Genomic DNA, 25,775 nt, shown 5'->3' on the forward strand with positions numbered 1-25,775 from the left:
GCATAGTGCCTTGTAGAGAGCTGGCAAGCAAATATTTATTGACCTATCACTAAAATCAGCTTTGTTCTTTAGGTAAATTTTTCCTCTTTGGATATTCATTTACACACTGAAGCACTTCTGAATACAATAAATTATCTTCATAATATCCTTCCGCAATCAGAGGAAAAATCAGCCCCAGTGTCCACTACAGAGACTGAAGACAAAGGAGATGTCATTAAAAAATTAGGTATGTTTTTTAAAAATTTAGCATCAACTTTTTTTTTTTTTAACCATGTAGGTCAATAAATCTAGACCCTGACTTTATTATTAACTTCAAATATTGGCTTCAGAATTCTGTTGCCTAGGTTAATATCTAGAAGGATTCATTATATGCCAGGATAATTTTAGAAAATAAAGGAAACTACTGGCGAAGAAAATGTTGCTTTTGTTTATCGTATATAATAATTGTTTTTAGTTTAAGATTATATAGTAGGAGTATTAGATTAAAAAATTTTTTTTCTTCCACCTCCCAGTAGGAGGATTAGATTTAAATTAAAATTTATGCATTTCATGACATTATTTTAGATTAGACAAATATGACTAACAAAATTTGAGTATTGTCAGCTGGGTGCGGTGGCTTATGCCTGTGATCCCAGTGACCCAGGGAGGTGAGCGCTGTGGGGATTGAGGCTCAAGGATCACTTGAGGCCAGGAGTTCAAAACTAGCCTGGGCAACATAGCAAGACCCTGTCTCCAACAAAATTTTAAAAATTAGTTGGGCATGGTGGTGTTTGTCTGTAGACCCAGTTTACTTGGGAGGCTGACACATTAGAATCACTGGAGCCCAGGAATTCAAGGTTGCAGCGATCTTTGAGCTACAATTGCACCACTGCACTCCATCCTGGGTAACAGAGAGAGACTCTGTTTCGAAAAAAAAAAACAAAAAAGAGTATCAGAGCATATTTTAAAATCAGAGTATAGTACTTTCGAAGCAGTGAAAAGTTGCAATTTTGATAATGACAAGTATCACCTAGTAATTATTGGTTCTCAAAAAATTTTGAAATTTATAGCTACAGTGTTTTAGTTTCAAATGTTTAGTTTCTTCTTGAAACAGTGTTGTCTATTTGCTTTTGTTTTTGTTAGATTTTATTGTTTTTTAGAATTTTCAATTCAGTAGGGAATATCATACCTTGCTTTCAACTGAATTGCAGATCAGGTTTTCTCTGATATCACTATTTGTGGTGATATTTCAGTTACTTTATAAGTATAGTGAGGTAACTACTAAATGTTTTTCCTCATGTTTTATAATATGAATTTTTTTTTGCAGCTTTAAAACTATCCACAAATGAAGATATCATTACTTTGCAGATTTTAGCAGAATTATCGTGTTTACAGATCTTTATTCAAGATCAGAAATGTAACATTTCTGAAATTAAGATTGAAGGTAATAAAATTTCACAAAAAGCAAATTAAAAGACATTAAATGAAAGAAAAGGCAGTCATTCTTTTGTTCCCTTAGGGCTTGATTCTGAGATGATTATGAGGCCTTCAGAAACTGAAATAAACGCAAAGCTAAGGAATATAATTGTTTTAGATTCTGATATAACAGCTATATACAAAAAGGTAAGAATTCTTTTAATTAAATAATAGTACATCATTAAATAGGATTGTCCTTTAAGAGTGGTCATAGGTATCATTTGGACATTTGTCAGAATTTAGTAGTATGGCTTATTATGTGCATGGGTTTTGGAGTCAGGCATAATTGGGTTCTTAGCTCTACTCCTTAGTAGCTGTGTGACCATTAGCAGGTTACCTAATCTTGGACTCTGTTTCTTTATTTGTAAAATGAGGATTACAGTATCTCATAAATGAGATAAGTACGAATAATGCTGCAGGAACAAAGTTTTGGGAGAGAACCTAGTAAATACCTTTTTCACTTTTTTTTTTTTTTTTTGGTTCATGTACTCTGAATCTTGTAATGCATTTTAGATACATTTGAGGGTCTGAAGTCTGAGGAAGTGAGATTTTTTATAAAGCTTATTGTCATCAGCGATCACTAGTATCGTTGTTGTAATAATGATAAGAGAGTCCTTTGAACTGGATGATTAGTTGTTGAAGGTTAGGTAATTTGTTACTGGTTATAAAACAGTGAGGTTCCTGCTGCAGAGTTGAACAGGCAACATCCTACCTGAAGCAGGCAGGATTATGTATTTAAGGAGGTTAAAGGAATATCAGATAGTAGGATCAGGAAAAACTGAAGTACTTGTTGAGTCAGGAAGTCAGCATTTGGAATATGTTGAGAAGAAAGGAAATAGATAAATAGATTTTGCCAGTAATACTGTAGTGATGAACTGATTTTTATGTTTAAAAAATTCTTATTTCTAATATCTTCTTGTTATGGCTTATTTAGTGGGATAGAAAAACAGTTCCAACATCAAAAAGAAGTGACTCATAGCAATAAGGAACAAGAAATTTTCCAGAAGCCGTGGTTTTATTTGCTTCTATTGCTTTTATTTTAAAAATCATAAGTATCAGAGTATTTAAGAAATAGGTTATCCATTTTATTTTCCCTATCTAGAAAGTAAAGCTCACAGAAATAAAGTATCTACGAAAAGTTATACAGAACTGAGAGCATGATCCAACCCATTGATTTTTTTCTCTGTAATTTTATTTTATTTTATTTTTTTATTTTTTTTGAGACAGTCTTGCTCTATCACCCAGGCTGGAGTGCAGTGGCGCAGTCTTGGCTCACTGAAACCTCCACCTCCTGGGTTTCAGTGATTCTCGTGCCTCAGCCTCGTGAGTGGCTGGGATTACAGGTGCGCACAACCACACCCAACTAATTTTTATATTTTTAGTAGAGACAGGGTTTCACTGTGTTTGGCCAGGCTCATCTCAAACTCCTGGCCTCAAGTGGTCTGCCTGTCCCGGCCTCCCAAAATGCTGGTATTACAAGCATGAGCCACTGTGCCCGGCCTGTAATTTTATTTTTAATATATCTACAAGGTTAAAAATTCAGTTTACAGAAAGTTACAAAATAAAAAAAATCTTTCTCCTTGTCTTCTTGCACGATTTTCATTTCCCTTTCCCTGTTTCTTTGATTCCATTGTACATGGTTTTTAAACAAACTGCCTTGTTTAGTAACTTTCCACGTGTCAAAGAACCAGAGAGGCATAAGGTTTTTGCCCTTATGAAATCAGACCTGATTATGAATCAGTTTCATAAGCCTTGTACAGCGATATATATTATTGTGCCAGTTTTAAGTGTACTGAGACATTGAGGCCCTCAACTTTAAGGGTGGGAGCCCCCAGACCATTTGTTTGACTCTGTCTTGGAGCAGCATCCTCCATTTACTGTAGCACCATTGGACAAATACTGTTTTTATTTATATATGCCATAAGGTAAAAAGGATTCTTGCTGACCTGATAGTCTCATGAAAAACATATCATAGTAAATTAGTTTCTGATATCTTCTTCATAAAAAATATTTTGAAAGTAAAGGCTTAAAAAAATCCAATTTTTAATGCTTAATTCTTGGTGATGGGTACACAAGTCTTTCTAATTATTCTCAACTTTTCTGGCCTTGTTATTAGGCCAACACTTGCTTCATGAAATGAGTTGGGAAATGCTTTCTTCCTGTTTTCTGAAAAATTTGTATAGAATTTGCATTATTCCTTAAATGTTTGATGGAATTATCAGTGCAAATATTTTTTGTGTATAGTTGAGTCTGGGATTCACTTTATTTTATTTTCCATATGGCATTCAGTATCCAAAGGAGATCCACACACTGCATTTGATTGATATACCACTTAAGTCTGTTATAGTTTATGAATTTCCTTTAGTTTCTTCTCTGCCCTTGTGTTAGCCATTTGTTGCTATCTTATTTATTCTGTACAATTTTCCATAGCCTGTATCTTGCTGATTATGTTTTCATGCTATTTAACATGTTACTGTATCCTGTGTTTCCTTAAATCGGTATTTAAATCTCAGGGCACAGTGAGATTCAGGGTTTGGGAGTAGGGGTTGGCAAGATACTTCATAGTTGGTAGTGTGTGTTTTCATAGGAGGCACATAGTGTGTAGCTGTCTTTTTTTTCTTTTCTGTTTTGCACTGTCTTGGAATATTTTCTTTTTTTTATGTTAGAAGCTATTTGTTGTTATTTCCTGTAATTTGGTCTTGAAGTCTGTGTCTGGAGAGTGGCCATAAGCCAAAATAGCCACTTTCTAGCTTGCAGGCATGTTGGTCAGATGGGACATCGGGGAGGCAACACAACAAAACACCCTCGAGGGGTGCCCACCAGGGAGGCTGACAGGAAGTCTGGAGGCAGTAGGGACGTTTCTTCATTTATTAAATGGGAGAGTTCACCAGTCTTTATGCTGGTATCACCAATCATTTTGGCTTTTCAAAAGTTTATTCTCCAGTAGATTTCTTAGGCAGGGCTCATAGGAACAATAATCCTTATTTATATTTGCAGGGTAGTTTGACTGGATTTTAAATTCTTGCCTTGAATTTTCTTTTCTAGATGATCTTAAAACATATTACTCCATGTCTTATGGCCTAGTATTGGTGTTGACAGTTCTGATGACAGTTTGACTTTCTTTCGCTTCTAAGAACTTTGCCATTTTCCCCAGACATTCAGAGCTAATTTGAAGCTTTATGTAGGGACTTTGGACAGGTAGACATCACAGTTGATGGTCAGGAACTGGTCTAGCAATTTTATGGGTTCTCAGATTGAGAGTATCTCTTGTTCTTAGGCTAGTTAGTTTCCGTTGAGAAAAATACTATTAAGTATAAGCCTGGCAGCCTACATTCCAGAAGCCAATTGGTTGAAAGAAGTGGAGGCCTCATCATTTAGTTTATAGATTTTTGCTTAAAATAACCACTTTTTAACATGGTGTTTTATTAACCGTCTTTCTGTACCTGAAGTCTCCTAGACCACAGCCTTTCTGCTCTAAACTCTGTCGAGCAAATCTGTTCTGTTGAACTCGGAGAGGAACAGTCATATAGTCCTACTCATGTGACATGCAGAGGCTATTCGGTTTATTCTAAACTAATTTACCAGTATTTATATAATTATATAGATACAATTTATACATTAATATATATGTAAATTATATATGTATAAATACTGGTAAATAAATTAAGAAAAAACTAATTATATATATTATATAATAATATATTTTATATATACATAAAATTCTCTCTCTCTCTCTCTCTCTCTCTGTCTCCAATCACACAATCACAGCTCACTGCAGCCTCGACCTTCCCTGGCCCAGGTGATCCTCCCACCTCAGCCTCCTGAGTAGCTAGGACTGCAGGTGTGTGCCACCAGGCCCAGCTGATTTTTGTAGAGATGGGGTTTCAACATTTTGCTCAGGCTGCCCTCAAACTCCTGAGCTCAGGCGATCTACCTGCCTCGGTCTCCCAAAGTGCTGTGATTACAGACATGAGCTGAGCCACAGCGCCTGGCCTATTTGAGATACTATAGTCAGCAAAAGATAAAAAGCCCTTCTCCACGTGGAATAAATAGTAGTTAATCAGTAATATAAAACAATATTAGAGAGTGATATGTGCTTTGAAAACCAAGAAAGCAGGGTAATGTGACAGGTAATAATTCACGTGGCGTATTAGGATTATCAAGAAATGCTTTTTTACAGTAGAAACATTTGACAGAAATCTGAGCTGTGGATTTGAGCCCTGTTGAAAGAGCTTTCCAGGTGGAGGAAAGAGCAACTATAAAAGCCTTGTAGCAGGAAGGTGCTTGCTATATTCTGGGAGGTTTTAGGGCCCTCAGTAACCTTTGGGTAGAATTATTTATTAGTTTCTGTTTTGGTTTAGTTTTTACTTTTTAAAGTAAGATTTATTGAGACAATTTACCTATAGTAAAACTTACCTCTTTTAGTTATAATTCTGTGAGTTTTGACGAACATATACTGTTGTGTAACTTACCTTCAGCATATACAATGGGTCTGTCAACCCTAAATATTCACTACTGCCCTTTGAGGTTAGCCCTTCTCCCCATCCTAGCACCTTAGAATCACTGCACTGTTTTTCGTTCCTGTAGTTTTGCAGTTTCCAAAGTATCAAATAAATGGAATCATGCAGTTATGTAGTCTTTCACGTTTTTTTTTCTTAGCATGTGAGATTATAATTTTTGTCTTTTTATGTCTTGATCAGCCTGGTTAACGATGTATCGATTTTATTGATACTTTGAAAGAACTGGCATTTGTTTCAATTGAATGTTCTCTGTTTTTAATTTTATTTATTTATGCTCTTTTAAGATTCCTTCCTTCTGCCTGCTTTGGATTTAATATGCTCTTCTTAAGGTGGAAGTTTAAATTATTGATTTGAGAATGTCTTTCTGTTGTAAGCATTTGCTGCTATAAATTTTCCTTTAAGCACTGCTTTAGCTGCTTCCTGTAAGTTTTGATATGTCATATTTTTATTTTCATTCAATTCAAAGTATTTTCTAATTTCTCTTCTGACTTTCTTTTACCCATTGTTTATTTAGAAATATGTTATTTAACTTCTAAATATTTTGAGATTTTCAGATCCCTTTCTGTTACTGATTTCTAGTTTAAATTCATTATGGTCAGGGGAGAAACCGTTTCAGTTCGTTTAAATTTGTTGATGTTTGTTTTATGGCCCAGAACATATATGATTAATCTTGGTGAATGTTTCAAGTGTACTTGAAATTAATATGTGTTTTGCTGGGTTGAATGTTCCATTTGGGCAAGTAGGTTGGTGGATAGAATTATTCAGGCTACTGATTTTCTGTTTACTGGTTGTGTTGAAGCCTCTGATTATAACCATTGATTTGCCTGTTTCTCCTTTCAGTTCTTTAAGTTTTTTGCTTTGTATGTTTTGGAGATCTCTTGTTAGGTACATATAAATGTGTATGAATTTTATGCCCCTTTTGTGATTATGTGATGTGTCTTTTTATCTGTGGTAACTGTGCTTGTTCTGAAGTCTACTTTGGTAGTAATATAGCCATTCCAGGTTTCTTCGGTTAGGTTTGAATGGTCTATCTTTTTCTGTCCTTTAGCTTTTAATGGATGTTTTCTTGTTTAAAGTGGGTTTCTGTTTTTTGATGCAAAGTCTCACTGTGTTGCCCAGGGTGGTCTTGAACTCCTGTGTTTAAGCTCGCCTCAGCCTAAGTAGTAAGTAGCTGGGATTATATGTGCATGCCACCACATCTGGCTTAAAATGGGTTTCTTACAGTCAGTGTATATTTAGATCTTTCTTTTTTATCTAATCTGACAATCTCTTGGCTTTTAATTTGTGTTTAGACTATTTTATAAAACTAATTATTGATATGATTGGATTGTAATCTGATATCTCTAATTGTTTTCTGTTCTCTAATTTTGTTTATCCTATTGTATTCCTCCTTTTGGCCTGATTTTTGATTAATTATCATTTATTTTATGGTTTCTCTAGGGTTTACAATGTATATATCTTTAATCATAGTCTATCTTCCAATAATATTTTATTGTTGTACATATAGTGTAAGAATCTTACAATACCATGCTTCCAATTCCCATTTCCTATCTTTCTTGGTATCATCATAATTTGCTTTACTTTGGTGCATGTTGAAAACTCACAATGTGTACCTATTGAATTTGGTTTAGTCAGTTTTCTTTGGAGCAATTAGTTTTCTAAAGATGTTTTATATTTTTCTTCATTGCAACTCTTTCTGTAACTACTTCATGTAGTTTCTGTCTATTGTTTGTATTTCTCTCTGAAATACTTTCTCATTTCTTTTTTTTTTTTTTGAGACAGAGTCTTGCTCTGTCGCCCAGGCTGGAGTGCAGTGGTGCAATCTCAGCTCACTGCAACCTCTGCCTCCGGGGTTCAAGTGATTCTTCTGCCTCAGCCTCCCAAATAGCTGAGATTACAGATGTGTGCCACCACACCTGGCTAATTTTTGTATTTTTAGTAGAGATGGGGTTTCACCATGTTGGCCAGGCTGGTCTTGAACTCTTTGACCTCAGGTGATTCACCCACCTAGGCCCCCCAGAGTGCTGGGATTACAGGCGTGAGCCACCGCATCTGGCACTTTCTCATTTTTTATAATGCAGGTCTGCCAGTAATGACTTCTCTCAGTTTTTTGGGTATAGATGAGAAGGGAGCTGGGAAAAACCTTTATTTCACCCTAATTTTTCTGAGTGACATTTTTGCTGGGTTGTGTTTTCCCCCTTTCCAACTGTTAAAAGATGTGATTTCATTGTTCTTTGTTACACATACTTTTGATGAGAAATCTATGACATTTCTTATTTTTGTTCCTCTGTACATAATTGGTCATCTTTTTTGACTGCTTTCAGGATTTATATATGGTGTGACTAGATGAGTTTAATTGTGTTTTGATATTTGTCCTGTTTGGGCTTTTCTGAGCTACTTGGATGGATCTGTCTTTCAATATTTTTCATTTTTTTCTTCAAATAGTTTCTTTGCCTCTGTCTCCCTTTCTCTCCCCCACCCCCTGGCTCCCCTGTTTTCTCCTCCTCCACTTTTTCCCTGTTCCTCTTCTTGAATTCCTGAAATTCTTGCTGGATTTCTGTTTATAGTCCCACAGCCTTTGGATGTTCTGTTCAAGTTTTTTCCCCATTGTTTTCTTAGTGCCTTTTAATTCAAATAATTTATCTTGACCTATTTTCAAATCTACTGATTTTGTCCTTGGCTCTGATGAGTGTACTGACAAACCCACTGAAGGTATTTTCATTTATGTTACCATGTTTTTTAATCTTTAATATATCCCTTTGACTCTTCTTTTTTCCATTTTCTCTGCTATAATAATATTCACCATCTATTCATGCATATGTTCCACTAGAAGCCTTTACCATATTAATCATAGTAATTAAAATTAAAAATTTTAGTTTCAACATTGATGTTATAGATGAGTCTGATTCTGTTGATTCCTTTATTATTTGCTTGAATTTTTTCCCTTGCTTTTATAGGGCATCTCATAATTATTGATCGAATGTCAGACATCATATCATGCATAGCAGGAGTCCCCAACCCCCGGGCTGTAGAACGGTACCGGTCTGTGACCTGTTAGGAACTGGGCCGGACAGCAGGAGTTGAGTGGTGGGCGAGGGAGCATTATTGCCTGAGCTCCGCCTCCTGTCAGATCAGTGGGGGCATTAGATTCTCATAGTAGGGTGAACCCTATTGTGAACTGTGCATACGCAGGATCTAGGTTGCATGCTCCTTGTGAGAATCTAAAGCCTGATGCTCTGAAGTGGAACAATTTAATCCCCAAGCCATCTCCCCACCCTCCAACCCCCCAGCCCCACTTTTGTGGAAAAATTGTCTTCCACAAAACAGCTCCCTGTTACCAAAAAGGCTGGGGACCACAGATGCATAGCATAATAGAGACTGAGGTAAATATCATAGTATTTATGTCTGGAAACGGGGATGCCTCTTTTCTGCTAAGCTATTAGCTTGGGGTGGGGGGTTGAGCTTAGGTTGGTTTGAATTCCAGATTAATACGATTTCCTTCACTACATTACTGCTTCAGTTTCCTTTAGTTGTACCTTGTGCTTAGGGTGGCTGGAGGCTGTGTTGCTCAGATTTTGCTCCGTGCTGAGCCTTTGACCTTTCTTCTACTCTTGTACCTCAGAAAATTCTCTTTCCACATTCTTAGCTCTTTCCTAGATGTTAGAGGCTCCTGCTGCTTGTTTCTTAGTGCTTGTGAGCTTGATGTATTTGGGGAGAAGGCAAGGTGGTTTGGATAGGCTTGTTAGTGTTCTTGTCCATTTTCACTCCTAGCCAGGGCTGTTTCTGTGAGTCTCAGAAATGGAGTATTCTTGGCCATCCTGCCCCTCCTCCTCATGGCATCTGATTGATATCTCTCGTATTTCCTATGTGGGATTGACTATCCTTCCCTTCCCCAGCAGAGGGAGACCTCTAATCATCTGGCCCCAGGAGAGTTCTTGTTCTTCCCCTAGAGTTTTATTTTATTCTTGTCCCTAGGATACTGTATCTTCACCTGTGCCCTGAGGGAAACAAGGTTTACTGCCCTTCCCCTAGTTTCTTATGGCTATTGTTTTGAGTAGTTGATAATCTTGGTGGTGCTTTGGGCCTTTTCTGCAGTGGAGGCTCCTCACCTTTTCCAGGGTCATACCAAGGAAAGCCTTCTCTTGTTTCCCACTTGCACCCATCTCCCGTCTTTCTCAAGAGCTCCTCACGTGTGTGGCTCTCAGGGATTCTGCATCTCACATTAGTCCACACTTATCCTTTATCATTTTAGCTGAATTATTCTTACCTATATTGTATAGTATCTGACATCTCTTTCTCCTCTCTACCACAAGTGAGCTGGTGCTTATTTTCTCTCTCTCCCTGAAGGTACCTGTTTGTCCTTAGATTTTTAGGGATCTTTGTTGTCCTGTGACCTCAGATTGCTAATGGTTTTAAGAAAGTTATGATATCATAGTTTATCGGGTTTTTTTTCCTTTTCTTAAGGTTTGGAGGGGCCCTCACTCCAGCTTTGTGCACCCTAGGCAGAAGCAGGACTGTAGACTTCTTTTCAGCCCTGTCTTGTACCTCAGCCTTCGGAGGTCACTTATACCTCTGGTTCTGGAGGATTCTTTGTTCTGTAGTTGTAACTGATTTGCTTGTTGATGGCTCTTCAGCTCCCTGTTCTTGCTTGCTTCTAGCATTTAGGAGAATTGAGAAAGTTATGAGCTTAGTGCTCTGTCCCTCTTCCAAAATTTTTTTTAACATTTTACATCTCCTGTTGTCGCCACCATTTTTAACTGTTATTGCAGAGCTTGAGATTTTTAACCACTGTAGGTAATTTCTGGTTGGCAATTAAGATGGCCCTTTACAATCTGATAAGGAACAGAAGTATAGCAATAGGAGGAGACTCCTTTGAAGAATCCAGAAAAATCTATTCACATACCTCAAATCAGGAATAGATTTCAGTAAGGTGTAGATATACAGTGTTTTTCAAATTTTTGTCAGTCAATCAAGAAATACATGGTTACTCTCATTACGAAAGTATACTTGCAAAATGAAAATGCATATTCAGATATTTCCTCTTCTCCATTAAAAAAAAAAGAAAAAAAGCTGGAGCCACACCTACTACCTTGATTTTATGACCCACAAAGGAAATTGCCACCACCAATTTGTAAAAGTTTGTAGTGTAGGTTCCAATAAACCAGTTACAGTAGAATTGTTGCCTCATTTGTACTTGGCTTGTGAATACTTGGGAGATTTTCTAACTATGTTTTGTTATTTTTTACTGTTTTATTTTTGTACTGAAAATACATCATTTCAAAAATGGATTGTGATAATTAAATTTTCTCTTATTAAGGCTGTTTATATCACTGGAAAAGAAGTTTTCAGCTTCAAAATGGTTTCTTACATGGATGCAACTGCTGGTTCTGCATACACAGATATGAATGTGGTTGACATTCAGGTTAATTTAATAGTTGGTTGCATTGAAGTAGTTTTTGTCACGAAATTTCTATATTCTATATTGGTAAGTATTTTATTAAATTATTATTTATTTTATACTAATTGGAAATTGCTATATGTCAAATATGGATGAAGACTAGTAAGAATTCCTTGCTTGAGATTTTTTCTGATTTTTTAAATCTTCTGGGTACCATTTATTATACATAATAAATGTGTAGTTCCTTATTTATATAACATCGTTTTGACATAGGAATATTCTAATTAATTGAAATATATATTTCATATAGTAACATTAAGTTTATGTGCATTATATATCATAAATATGTTATATATTAATTAGAACCTTCGTTTTATATGTCATTGGCTTAAGTCTTCGTTTTACCTGACTTGCAACTATAATTTAAAAATACTGAATATATAATTGAAGTTTGTTTTGGTCTGAAGTCATCATTAAGAAAAGGTTATTTTAATTTTCTAGAGACAAGGTCTTGCTCTGTCACCCAGGCTGGAGTGTAGTGGCATGATCGTAGCTCATTGTAACCTTGAACTCCTGGATTCAAGTGATCCTCCCGCCCCAACCTCCTGAGTAGCTGAGACTACAGGCACATATCACCATGCACATACCACCAAGCTAATTTTTTTTTTCTTCAAGTTTTTATAGAGATGGGGTCTTACTCTGTTGCCCAGTCTGGTCTTGAACTCCTGGCCTCAAGTGATCCTCCTGCTTTGGCCTCCCAAAGCGCTGAGATTACAGGCATTATGTCTGGCCCAAGAAAATCATATTTTCGATTGCATTGTCATTCTGTGAATATCAGGGACTTTAAGGAGTTAGATTTAACCCCTATATGACTCCACCCTAAGGCATTTCGGTTCTTATTTCGGCTTTTCTTGTTTCATTTTGTTTCGGTTTTTGTTTTTCCCTTGCTGTCAGCTGATATTTTTTCCTGTGGGTGTCACACCTATCTCCATAACATCACTATTCATTCTTTTAAAATGCTGTCTCAGTGTTTTAGTGTATGAACTAGGTAATCAAATCTAAGGCTGTAGTGGAATAAATAGGCCAAGTGTGGCAATTCTTATAAGCAAGAAAAGTATTTGCGTGTTCATTTGAATGTATTTGGGAATGTGGAGCCCTCTTTTGTTATTTCAAAATTCTAAGTTAATTCCATATAATGTTGCTGTTTTGTGATCTTTTAAGCCATAACATCATTTTGTACACAAAAATGTAAAGATAAACAAGTATTCCTTGTTGAATTTCTTCTCTTTTAAAAAAAATTAGAGTTGGGTTCTTGCTCTGCAGCCCAGACTGGAGTGCAGTGGCGTGCTCCTAGCTCACTGCAGCCTCAAACTCATGGGCACAAGCAAATCCCATCTCAGCCTCCCAAGTAGATTAAATTAGTAGGGACAACAGGCCCTGCTAATTTTTTATTTTTAATTTTTTTTTTAAGACACGATCTCGCTGTATTGCCCAAACTGGTCTAGAACTACTGGCCCCATGTTATCCTACTACCTCAGCCTCTTAAGTAGCTAATTTATTTTTATAACCAAAAAAATCATGTCACTTGAGCCCTCTTGTACTTATACTTAGAAATTACTAAAATGTTAATTTTTTCTTTGAACATGAAAATTAGGTATAAGAGTATAAATATAGATAATTATATTTTATGTCATTGAAGTTTTTTTTTGGAATTTGGAAATTGGAAAATTATTTTGAAACTTCTTAAACATATTTTATTTATTTATTTACCTTACAAATATAAATAAGCTCTCTGTCCACTGAGGTTGTATAGAGAAATAGGGTTGTTTTTCATTAGGGAAAGTGAGATAAGGGAAGTAGATATCTGTAAGACATTCCAGTGATCCCATTTAGCTTTGTTCTGAGGACTAGATTTTTATTTTATCTGTGTCTTTGTGTTTCTCAGTTTTTGTGGCAGAAAATTAAGATTTAATATAGACAGTAAGATTTTGAATAAATAATGCTTGGTTGTATCAAGTAAAAGTTTTTTTTTAAATGGAGGTAAAACCATAAATATCAATATATATTTAATAAGTCGTATTTATTAATAACCTTAAGAATATAATTCTGTTATCTTACAGGCTTTTATAGATAATTTTCAGGCAGCTAAACAAGCCTTGGCTGAGGCAACTGTTCAGGCAGCTGGAATGGCTGCTACTGGTGTAAAAGAACTCGCACAAAGGAGTTCCAGAATGGCACTGGATATTAACATCAAAGCCCCAGTTGTGGTCATCCCGCAGTCTCCAGTTTCTGAAAATGTTTTTGTTGCTGATTTTGGACTAATTACAATGACAAATACCTTTCATATGATAACAGAGAGCCAGAGCTCTCCCCCACCTGTTATTGATTTGATAACAATAAAGCTGAGTGAAATGCGACTATACAGGTAAGCTTTTCACAAGTATATTTGTGTGGAATGCAATATTTTTCTAACTTTTTAAAGACTTTGATGTCTTGAGTAGTCTGTTTACAGTGAGATTTTATTTTATTAATTATACATAACTTAGTGATTCTCTCTTCCTTAAGTATATTTTGGCAAAATCAATTATAGTCTTTGCATTTTAAAAAACCTAGAAAGTGTTTGAAAATTTCTCCTTAGGTAATTAGGAAAACTATAAAATTTATTATCTGAGGAAGTATATTTGTGCTTTTTTGTGGTTCATTATAAATTACATGGCTATGGAAAAAATGAGGAATTTCTAATGTAATATGTTTATTCACTTTGCAAATACATTATCATCTTATCTTCTCTGTCGGTTGTTGCTGTGGCTCTGATGCTGTAATTTAAACGAACATGCAGTAGCATACAACCTTATTCGTTAACCTGTATTCGTTAAGCATAGGGTTAGGAATTAGGCGGATAACCAAATGTTCAAATAGTTCGAGAGCTTTTATACTGTGTCCTCTGTGTTTCTGTGCTATTTCTAATTGCCCATTCTGAATTTATGCCCTATTTTCCAACTTGAATCCTTCTCTATTTATACTTCTCAACTGCCCTCTTCCTTCTTTCTGTCATTTTTCTTTGATATAATTCTCTTGCTTGTCTCTTCACCTTATTTTTGTCTCATTTTTTACTTAACTAACTCCCATTCTCTACTTCTCTTTAGCTTCCTATGAGTCTGTCTTTCCCTCCTGTGCTTTCTTTGATCAATTGTATATTTTTAAAGCAGCTTTATTGAGACATAATTGACACAGAATAAGTTGCATATCTTTAATGTTATACCATTTTATAAGTTTTGATATGCATACATTTCTGACAGTTTATGTACAGTTGTATTACTTCTTCCTTAAGTATTAGGTAGAATTTACCAGCGAAGCCATCTCGTCTTAGAGTTTGCTTGTGGGAGATTTTTAAATGATAGTTTTCATTTCTTTAATAAATTTGGGGCTATTCAAGTTATTTTTTCTTGAGCGATCCTCCCTAATTTCTTAAAAGAATTTATCCATTTCATCTAAGTTGTAAAATTTAATGGCATAAAGATTTTCATAATGCTCCTTATTTATTAATATCTGTAATGATGTGTCCTCCCTCATTCCTGATATTTATAATTTCTGCCTTTGTACTGATCAATCTGGTTAGCGATTTATCCGTTTTATTGATCTTAAGCAGTTTTTGGTTTTATTTTTTTTTCTTTTTTTGTTTTCTCATTCATTGATTTCTGATTCAATATTTATTATTCTGCTTACTTTAGGTTCAATTTTGCTCTTTTTATAAGTTTTTTTAGGTGATAGCTAAGATTATTGATTTGAAACATTTCTTCTTTTCTAATATATGACGTGCTATAAATTGGAGTACTTTATAATATTGTGCTATGAATTTTAAGTTACTCTATAAGTCTGTGTAGCTCTCTTCTCTCTGGTATTTTATCATATAAACTAGCTACCTTGGTTTCTCTTGGACTCTCAGCTCTTATCTTCTCTACTCTGGGGCTTTCCTGGCCTTCCCCTGGGTCCCCCCTCCCTGTACCATGGCCTGTTAATTATGGTAAAACAATAGTAAACTGGGACAATCGTAGGGCTCACCTCATTTTTTTTTCCAACTCTTTGGAATCACTATCCATTTTTGATGTCTTGTGTCTTGAAAACTATTTTTAAGTCAATTTTGTCTGTCTTTTTTTTGGGGGGGCAGGGTTGTTTCAAGCAGGAGTGTTAAACCATTCATGTTACTCCATCCTAGATGGAAGGAGAAATTTCTGTCACTTGAGCATTTATTAAGCACCAAATCTATCCCAGGCATTGTGCTAAGAATAAGAAATATAATAGTGAGCAATCTTTATAAGGGATTAATAAGTAATCCCTACCTCATTGGGTTGTTGTGGTAGGTACTGTTTAATAAATATAGTGGGCTGGTGCATAAAATGGGATCACATTTTGAAAAGGTTCTAGAAATTAGGTCAAAAGGAGACAAAACTAGAGGTTGGAAGGATAATTTGGTAACTATTGCAGTAATTCACATAAGAATTATAGGTGACTTAGTCTAAGGTAAGGGAGTGAAGTAGTGGAGAGCTAACCAGAATTTATAGTAACTGATGGTTGAATGGGTGTGGGAGTTAAAGGAGAAGAGAAATTAAAATTCACTTTAGGTTACAGGCTTGGAAATCAGCGTTTGATGATGATACACTTCACTGAGATAAGACAGAACAATGCAGAAAAACCCAGTAGAATAGAGATAGTAATTATTTCTCTAATGGGCAAAGTAGCCTGAAAGTGGTTGCATGACTTCTACATGGAGAGATCTTGAAAGAAATCCAGAAGGCAGTGGAATATATGTGCCTAGGTGATGCACATAGGTGATGTTGTTTAGACTTCTAGGTTTAGGAGTTCTTAGTAATAATTTGTGCTAGTCACTGAAGCCTTTGGAATGAGCACAGTCACAAAGAAAGCTTGTAGAGTGGGACATATGAAGAAGAATGCTGAGGAATACCAGTGTTTAAATAATTGACAGAAAGAGGAACCCTCAAAAGAGACGAAGTAGGAGCAGACAGAGAGATGAGAAGCCAGGAAAATGTATTTGAGGCAGCAGTGAGGGTCCTGCTGATATTGTTAACCATGAATTAATAGTGTATCATTTTTTTTTCATGCAGTACTTGGTATTTTGTATTTGGAATCCAACAGTCAGTTGGATTGAGACAAAACTGAATTTTTTGCCAAGCAAGTGTGACCGAAGGTAGTGGAACAGGATTTTAATGATTGAGAATCATGTTGATGGATAATAGAGAGGTGATATAGTTTGGCCATGTCCCCACCCAAATCTCATCTTGAATTGCAGCTCCCATAATTCCCACATGTTGTGGGAGGGACCTGGTGGGAGATAATTGAATCATGAGGGTGGTTCCCCCATACTGTTCTCATGATAGTTAATAAGTCTCACGAACTCTGATGGTTTTAAAAGGGGAAACCCCTTTGACTTGGCTCTCATCCTCTTTTTGCCTGCCGCTGTGTAAGATGTGCCGCTGTGTCTCCTTTACTTTCTGCCATGCTTGTGAGGAAGGGGTCCAGTTTCAGTTTTCTGCAAATGGCTAGCCAGTTTTCCCAACACTATTTATTAAATAGGGAATCCTTTCCCCATTGCTTGTTTTTTCAGGTTTGTCAAAGATCAGATGGTTGTAGATGCGTGGTGTTATTTCTGAGGCCTCTGTTCTTTTCCATTGGTCTATATATCCGTTTTGGTAACAGTACTATGCTGTTTTGGTTACTGTAGCCTTGTAGTATAGTTTGAAGTCAGGTAGTGTGATGCCTCCAGCTTTGTTCTTTTTGCTTAGGATTGTCTTGGCTATACGGGCTCTTTTTTGGTTCCATATGAAATTTGAAGTAGTTTTTTCTAATTCTGTGAAGAAAGTCAGTGGTAGCTTGATGTGAATAGCATTGAATCTATAAATTACTTTGGGCAGTATGGCCATTTACCACAGTGAGATACCATCTCACACCAGTTAGAATGGCAATCATTAAAAAGTCAGGAAACAACAGATGCTGGAGAGGATGTGGAGAAATAGGAACACTTTTACACTGTTGGTGTGCGTGTAAATTAGTGCAACCATTGTGGAAAACAGTGTGGCGATTCCTCAAGGATCTAGAACCAGAAATACCATTTGACCCAGCCATCCCATTATTGGGTATATACCCAACGGATTATGAATCATTCTCCTGTAAAGACACATGCACACGTATGTTTATTGCAATACTGTTCACAATAGCAAATGCTTGGAACCAACCCAAATGCTCATCAATGACAGCATGAATAAAGAAAATGTGGCACATATACACCATGGAATGCTATGCAGCCATAAAAAAGAATGAGTTCATGTCCTTTGTTGGGACATGGATGAAGCTGGAAACCATCATTCTCAACAAACTAACACGGGAACAGAAAACCAAATACCACCACATGTTCTCACTCATAAGTGGGAGTTGAACAGTGAGAACATATGGACACAGGAGGGGGAACATCACACAGCGGGGCCTGTTGGGGTGGGAGGCAAGGGGAAGGATAGCATTAGGACAAATAATTAATGTATGTGGAGCTTAAAATCTAGATGACGGGTTGATGGGTGCAGCAAACCACCATGCCACATGTGTAACAATGTAACAAACCTGCACATTCTGCACATGTATCCCAGAACTAGTATAAAAAAAATTAGAATTATATTGTTTTGTGCTGTAAATAGCTTTTTTCTTAATAATATGCTGTAAGTTTTCATGTCATTATTTTGAGTGCATAAATTTTTCCAAATATTCCTGTTTTTAGAAAATCTAAATCTGCCTTTTGTTAGAAATTTGATTCTAATATATATACAGTTTTGCTATTATAAATAACACTATATTGATGATTGATATCTTTATTACATCAGTACTTTTGTAATTGTCTACTCATTTCTTTGGGATAATTCATTTCCTGAGGATGAGTTCCTAGAAATAGAATTACTCAGTTATAGAGTGTAGCCAGTTTTTCCTGAAATAATTTTAAAATAATTGATAATTGAAAATGCAGTTGCTGGGCACGTTGGCTTACGCCTGTAAACCCAGCACTTTGGGAGGTTGAGGATGGCAGATTGCTTGAGCTCAGGAGTCTGAGACCAGCCTGGGAAACACGGTGAAACCCCATCTCCACAAAAAATACAAAAATTAGCTGTGTGTGGTGGCATATGCCTGTCATCCCAGATACTTATGGGACTGAGGCAGGAGAATCACTTGAGCCTGGAAGATTGAGACTGCAGTGACCTGTGTTAATGCCACTGCATTCCGGCCTGGATGACAAAATGAGACTGTCTCAAAAAAACAAACCAAACCCCAGAAAATGCAGTTTAGTTACAACTTCTTAGAAAGTGCATAAAGAAAAATAGGAATTCATGTTTGTGACTAGGTTCTTTATACATTAATCCAACTTGACTGCAATTTAGCAAATATTTATTCATTATATGGCACATGCCAATCATCTAAGTACTGACAAAAAGCAAAGAATAAGATGAACATAGTTCCTGCCCTCATGAAGCTTTCATTCTAATTAAAAATATAGAGGACATAATAAACTATTAAAATGCAATATATTAAATGCAGTGATGGAAAAAGTATAAGGTGCATGTGGGAGCACGTAGGAAAGGTGTATTTTATCCATATATTGGGTAGTACTGATAAGAAAAGTTTTTCCAGAGAAAGTAATCTTTTGACATAACAGTTTTCTTTCTCATAGTTTGTCCAAAGGACAGAAATTTACTCAAAGATATATAGATGAAGATATAGATATAGATATATAAAATACAAGTATTTATTATGGTGAAGAATTGGAAAATATGAAATTTTAATCATAGAAGGTTAATTAAAATACTAGTATAGCCATTTATTCTGATATGGCTATTAAAATTATATATGCATCCTAGCCTAACTGAAAAAAAGAAAAGAAAACCTATGTGTGCAGCATTCCCTATGGGGCTTTTAGATTCCTTAACCTATTACCATTAAGCGGAGACTGCAAGCATGCAGGCATATGTAAGTTTGGTGTCACTCTATCATTCATTCATTAAATGGCTTGGTACAAGGCATTTTGGGAGATCCCTGATGAACTCTCATATTTCTCTCCTATTGATTAAATGATTGCCAAAATTCTACAGTCATGGTGTTATATCTTAGTTTAAGGATTTGCTGCTAATTAAAATATAAGTACATTATTGAGGAGTAACACTTTGAGATTGTCACTTTGAGGTACAATGGGAGGCTTCTATGGTCACATTGTTACTTGAAGGGGTTCAATTGACCTACATTTTTCTTCATTCCTGAGCATCAGTCTTACCTTTATAAGTGCTTGGAAAGGCAAATATAGTTCAATTTAAATTGTATGTATTCAGCTATTTTAACTCATAGAAATAAAAATTGCATATGGTGCTACTTATTTTTTATAAAGTAAGGGAATATGTGATATTCTGTTACTTACCTAAATCAGTGAGTTAAAATGTTTTTATAATGATGTCTTATATAATGTTTGTTTACAAATTACATAGAGATATTTTTTTTTTTTTTCCCGAGACAGTGTTTTACTCTTGTTGCCCAGGCTGGAGAGCAATGGCATGATCTTGGTTCAATGCAACCTCCGCCTCCTGGGTTCAAGTGATTCTTCTGCCTCAGCCTCTCAAGTAGCTGGGATTACAGGTGCCCACCACCACGCCTGGTTACTTTTTGTATTTTTAGTAGAGATGGGATTTCACCATGTTGGCCAGGCTGATCTCGAACTCCTGACCTCAGGTGATCCACCCGCTTTGGCCTCCCAAAGTGCTGGGATTACAAGCATGAGCCACCACTCCTGGCCTACATAGAGATAATTCTTATTTTAATGGTTTACTATACAACTTACAACTTATATACTTTTGCACTTTTTACCATATTCCAAAATTGTATCGAAAAATACATATTTTTCCCCTTTTTTTTTTTTTTTTTTTTTGGAGACAGAGTCTTGCTCTGTTGACCAGGCTGGAGTGCAGTGGTGCGATCTCGGCTCACTGCAACCTCCACCTCCCAGGTTCAAGCAATTCTCCCACCTCAGCCTCCTAAGAAGCTGGGACTACAGGCGCATGCCACCACGGCCAGCTAATTTTTGTATTTTTAGTAGAGATGGGGTTTCACCATGTTGGCCAGGCTGGTCTCAAACTCCTAACCTCAAGTGATCTGCCCGCCTCAGCCTCTCAAAAGTGCTGGGATTACAGGTGTAAGCTACTGTGCGTAGCTCTATTTCTGTATAATATAGAACACTCAGCTCAGTGTAAGTCACCCAGGTTTCTAGTGGGATAGAACATCACTCAACTCATTTTGACAGATAAAAAAAAAGTCTGATAGATATTTTCCCTTTATACCCAACAAATTATTGATTTCTGCTATTTGCATATAAAAGGATAAATTTAAGTTAATCTTTTTTTAACTACCTGAATGTATATGAAACAATTTAAAAGAATGTTATCTCTACTTATAGATCTCGATTTATTAATGATGCATACCAGGAAGTACTGGATCTACTCCTGCCATTAAATCTTGAGGTTGTGGTTGAACGAAATTTATGCTGGGAGTGGTACCAGGAAGTTCCTTGTTTTAATGTAAATGCTCAGCTGAAACCAATGGAGGTAACTTTTTTTGGATACTTATCAATTTTTGTTTTGCTTGTTGAAAAATACTGCTTGGGGACATAAGGCATCATTTGAGTGGAATTTGTATATACATAATCACCTTGGTCAGAATTGAAATAGTGATTATATTAAACTAGAATTCATTTTAAAATGGTCTTGATTTATTCTTTTAACAAATATTACTGGAGATAAAGTGGCAAGGAAGCAATGACATTGTCTCTGACTTCATGGAACTTGCCAGTCTAATGCAGGGGTTGGTGGTGATGGTGATCTGGAAGGTATAGTAGTAGTTAGATAGTAAAAAAGTAATCAGACACATAATTAAAATAGTTATAAATTGTGGTAAATTTAATGAAGTGAAGGGGTGGCCTGCACCTCCACACCTGTGGGTATTTCTAGTCGGGTGGGATGAGAGACTGAGAAAAGAAATAAGACACAGAGACAAAGTATAGAGAAACAACAGTGGACCCAGGGGACCAGCACTCAGCACACCAAGGACCTGCACTGGCACCGGCCTCTGAGTTCCGTCAGTTTTTATTGATTATTATTTTCATTATTTCAGCAAAAAGGAATGTAGTAGGAAAGCAGGGTGGTAATAAGGAGAAGGTCAGCAAAAAACGTGTGAGCAAAAGAATCTATGTCATAATTAAGTTCAAGGGAAGGTACCATGAGTGGACGTGCACGTAAGCCAGATTTATGTTTCTCTCCACCCAAACATCTCAGTGGAGTAAAGAATAACAAAGCAGCATTACTGCAAACATGTCTCGCCTCCCACCATAGGGCGGTTTTTCTCCTATCTCAGAATTGAACAAATGTACAATTGGGTTTTATACCGAGACATTCAGTTACCAGGGGCAGGCAGGAGACAGTGGCCTTCCTCTATCTCAACTGCAAGAGGCTTTCCTCTTTTACTAATCCACCTCAGCACAGACCCTTTACGAGTGTCGGACTGGGGGACGGTCAGGTCTTTCTCATCCCACGAGGCCATATTTCAGACTATCATATGGGGAGAAACCTTGGACAATACCCGGCTTTCAAGGGCAGAGGTCCCTGCGGCTTTCCACAGTGCATTGTGCCCCAGGTTTATTGAGACTAGAGAATGGCAATGACTTTTACCAAGTATACTGCTTGTAAACATTTTGTTAACAAGGCACGTCCTGCACAGCCCTAGATCCCTTAAACCTTGATTTCATACAACACATGTTTTTGTGAGCTCCAGGTTGGGTCAAAGTGGCTGGGTCAAAGTGGCTGGGGCAAAGCTACAAATTAACAACATCTCTGCAAAGTAATTGTTTAAAGTACAGGTCTTTTTCAAAATGGAGTCTCTTATGTCTTCCCTTTCTACATAGGCACAGTAACAGTCTGATCTCTCTTTCTTTTCCCTACAATGAAGGACACAAATAATAGGCATGGTGCTGTAGTCAATTAGATATATTAATATAGAATTTATTGGAAAGATCTAGGTTAGAAATACTAATTTTGGTGTCACCAGCATATAGATGGCATTTAAAGCCATGGAAATATATGAAATAATCTATACAAAGGAAGAGAAAGTATTAGAAGAATTCATAAGTTGAAAATGAAAATGGCAAATGTGTCACCACCTTAGTTTTACTTTCTTATTGGTTGACATTGCTTCAAAGATCTCTCATGGAACTGCCCACAAGTTCATATTTTTTTCCCTTGACTGGATGAAAGTCAAAAGTGTGTCATAGGCTTTGCTGAAGTGATAGCAACATATGCTCTGGGAGGTTTCTTTAAGAAACCTACTTAACAAATCCTTCTCCCCACCTCACAGTTTCCCTTTCTATTTCTTTCTGTAAAAATTTTATTGATTATGAGAAAACCATCATTTTAGAGATTTCAGACTTTTTTTCTTTTTTTTTTTTTTGAGATGGAGTCTCGCTCTGTTGCCCAGGCTGGAGTGCAGTGGTGCAATCTCAGCTCACTGCAAGCTCCGCCTCTGGGGTTCACGCCATTCTCCTGCCTCAGCCTCCCGAATAGCTGGGACTACAGGCATCCGCCACCGCGCCCGGCTAATTTTTTGTGTTTGTAGTAGAGACGGGATTTCACCGTGTTAGCCAGGATGGTCTTGATCTCCTGACCTCGTGATCCACCCCCCTTGGCCTCCCAAAGTGCTGGGATTACAGGCGTGAGCCATCACGCCTGGCCGAGATTTCAGACTTTTAAGTCAAACGTATATTCAGAGCATAAAACATGATGGCATTATGAAAATCTTAGTGTGTAAGATAATAATGGCTGCTTTAACTTACAGGGTAGGAGATGGAAGTTATCTTTTTAAGATAAATATTTGAAGTCTATTTATATTGGTAAGATAACAGATAGAAACTCATAAAACATATAGAAACTTATAAAACATAAATATTATGTTCCACCCAACATGCTGGGGCAGTTGCTATCCCACTGGGCCCAGTTATTAGGCATATTTGTGTGGGGCAGCAAAGACACTGCTTTCTCATGCTCTTCCCAGGTAGAATCCATACAGAATGTCCTGGTGATGCTGCCAACAATCTGCAAGTGCCCAGCTGCCTTTTGAGGCCAACCCTCTAGGGTAAAGTTGGGGCTTCCCTTACTCTAATTCACCTGAGTAGTTGGTTAGCTGCTGTTGCAGCTCACCCCAGAGCCCAGATATTTGTTCTCTCCTGGGCCTCATCTTCTGTGCCAGGGAGAGGCTAGAATTGGTTGTGAAATCATTTAGTCTAATGCATCCAGACCAAGTGGAGCAGCTTGTGATTTCTGACTTGTCAGATTTTCAGTGGTTGCATACACAGCCTGTCCTGACATGTAGATACTGCAGATCAGCAGCCCCAGGATCCTTACAGTTCTTTGAACTTCCTCCACTGAGCTCCTGGCAAAAGTGAAGGAAGAGTGCCAATTAATAATCAGTATTTGAGGTGCATGCGATAGACAGATACTAACTGGAAGACATGGTTTAGAAGTTGTAATATTTATTTTCATCTTATTATATGAACTCTTTTTGCAGTGTCTGCTACATAGTTACAAACTAAGTGTCATGAATAAAGAATGAAGGAATGAAAGCTTAAAAAAAACCCCAAACATTAGTAGTATGTATAAGGTACACATGGACTTAATTTTAAAACACTAAATTAGTGTGTCATCTTTGAAATGCAGTCAAAGAAAGCTTGGTTACAAGTAAAACTTGTTAAATATTGTGGGATTCAAATTATCTCCTTGGGGTCATAACAGCTAAAAATTCTTTTTGTTGTTTTGACAAACTTAGAAGTGAGCCAAACTCAAAGATCTTTTTTACATTATTTCTGTTGTGTTAGGGTTCTCCAGAGAGAGAGAGAGAGAGTGTGTGTGTGTTTGTGTGTGTGTGTGTGTGTGTGTGTGTGTGTGTGTAAAGAGAGGGAAAAGGGAGAGACTTATTTTAAGGAATTGGTGTACATGATTGCGGATGCCACCAAGTTCAAAGTCAGTCTACAGGGTAGGCCAGCAGGAAGGATATCCAGGGAAGAGGTAGTGTTGGAGCTCGAGTCTGAAGGCAGTCTGCTGGCAGAATTCTTGCTTAGAGGAGGTCAGTCTTTTTTTATTGAAGGCCTCCAACTTCAATACAAAGCAATTGGATGAGGTCCACCTACATTATGGAGTGTAATCTGATTTACCTAGAGTCTAGAGATTTAAATATTAATTTCATCTAAAAAATATTTTCACGGAAACATTTTATGTTTGACCACATACCTAGGTACTGTGACTGAGCCAAAGTGACATACAAAATTAACCATCACAGCTATTAAGGCAGGTCTTATGCTGTTGATTTGGGACTAAATTTGTAACAGCTAGGATTTGAAATTGGCTCTTTATTTTTTTTTTTTTTTTTTGAGACAGAGTCTCTGTTGCCCAGGCTGGAGGGCAGTGGCGCGATCTCGGCTCACTGCACTCTCTGCTTCCCAGGTTCAAACAATTCTCCTGCTTCAGCCACCTGAGTAGCTGGGATTACAGGTGTGCACTATGCCTGGCTAATTTTTGTATTTTCGGTAGAGTCGGGGTTTCACCGTGTTGGCTGGGCTGTTCTCTTAACTCCTGGCCTCAAGTGATCTGCCTGCCTCAGCCTCCCAGAGTGCTGGGCTTACAGGCGTGACCCATCACACCTGGCCTGAAATTATTAGCTCTTTGAGTTAGTTCCTAGTTTATGTGTGGACCTAAGCATATTAACCATTTAGCTTCAGTGTCTTATAAATATAAATATCAGGATTGCATTAGCTGGGCATGTTGGTACATGATTGTAATCCCAGTTTCTTGGGAGGCTGAGGTCAGAGGTTGAGCCCAGGAGTTTGAGGCTGCAGTGAGCTAGGATTGCACCACTGCATGCCAGCCTGGGTGACAGAATGAGACCCATTCACTAACTACCTAACTAAATAAATACATTTCAGGATCATATTCCATAGACCTAGGACTTTTTCGAGGTTCAAATAAAATAGTTCATGTAAAACACATTGTGAACTCTAAAATTTTTGGTAAACCAAATGTATCATTTTTTATTCTACATTTGTAAAATGAGGTGCTTACTAACCAAAAAAATCCAAAGTAGACAGATAACTACTGAAAGTTCATTTTAAAGGTTTAAAATTACTATATTATTTGGTACATTAATAACAAATAGTTCTTTATTCATAACTTCATTGGTATTAACACCTAATTTAGTTCTATATTTCACAAGCTACTAAAGAGCACATGGTCATTTAGAAAACTGAATATTCAGTTTGTAAAAATGTT

General features: G+C 36.8%; 1 protein-coding gene across 4 annotated transcripts in view, besides 1 other annotated feature; it reads left to right on the forward strand.

Annotated features, from left to right (window-relative positions):
• VPS13A (vacuolar protein sorting 13 homolog A) overlaps window positions 1–25,775 on the forward strand; it is a 244,004-nt gene that overhangs the window by 104,515 nt on the left and 113,714 nt on the right. For 3 of the 4 annotated variants that reach the window (NM_033305.3, NM_015186.4, NM_001018038.3), the window contains exons 29-34: window positions 73–226; window positions 1,307–1,423; window positions 1,499–1,602; window positions 11,293–11,460; window positions 13,494–13,798; window positions 20,867–21,014. In NM_033305.3, the coding sequence (NP_150648.2) occupies window positions 73–226; window positions 1,307–1,423; window positions 1,499–1,602; window positions 11,293–11,460; window positions 13,494–13,798; window positions 20,867–21,014 (996 nt within the window). The remainder of the gene's footprint in view (window positions 1–72; window positions 227–1,306; window positions 1,424–1,498; window positions 1,603–11,292; window positions 11,461–13,493; window positions 13,799–20,866; window positions 21,015–25,775) is intronic. The other variant, NM_001018037.2, reaches the window with a different exon arrangement.
• Window positions 9,685–9,979: a silencer, noted in NCBI's record as "tiled region #5552; HepG2 Repressive non-DNase unmatched - State 15:Elon". NCBI's record gives its function as "represses a minimal TATA promoter and a strong SV40 promoter by Sharpr-MPRA in HepG2 cells {active_cell/tissue: HepG2}" and the evidence as "EXISTENCE:reporter gene assay evidence [ECO:0000049][PMID:27701403]".

This window comes from Homo sapiens, chromosome 9 (genome assembly GCF_000001405.40).
Source record: "Homo sapiens chromosome 9, GRCh38.p14 Primary Assembly".
NCBI lineage: Eukaryota > Metazoa > Chordata > Mammalia > Primates > Hominidae > Homo > Homo sapiens.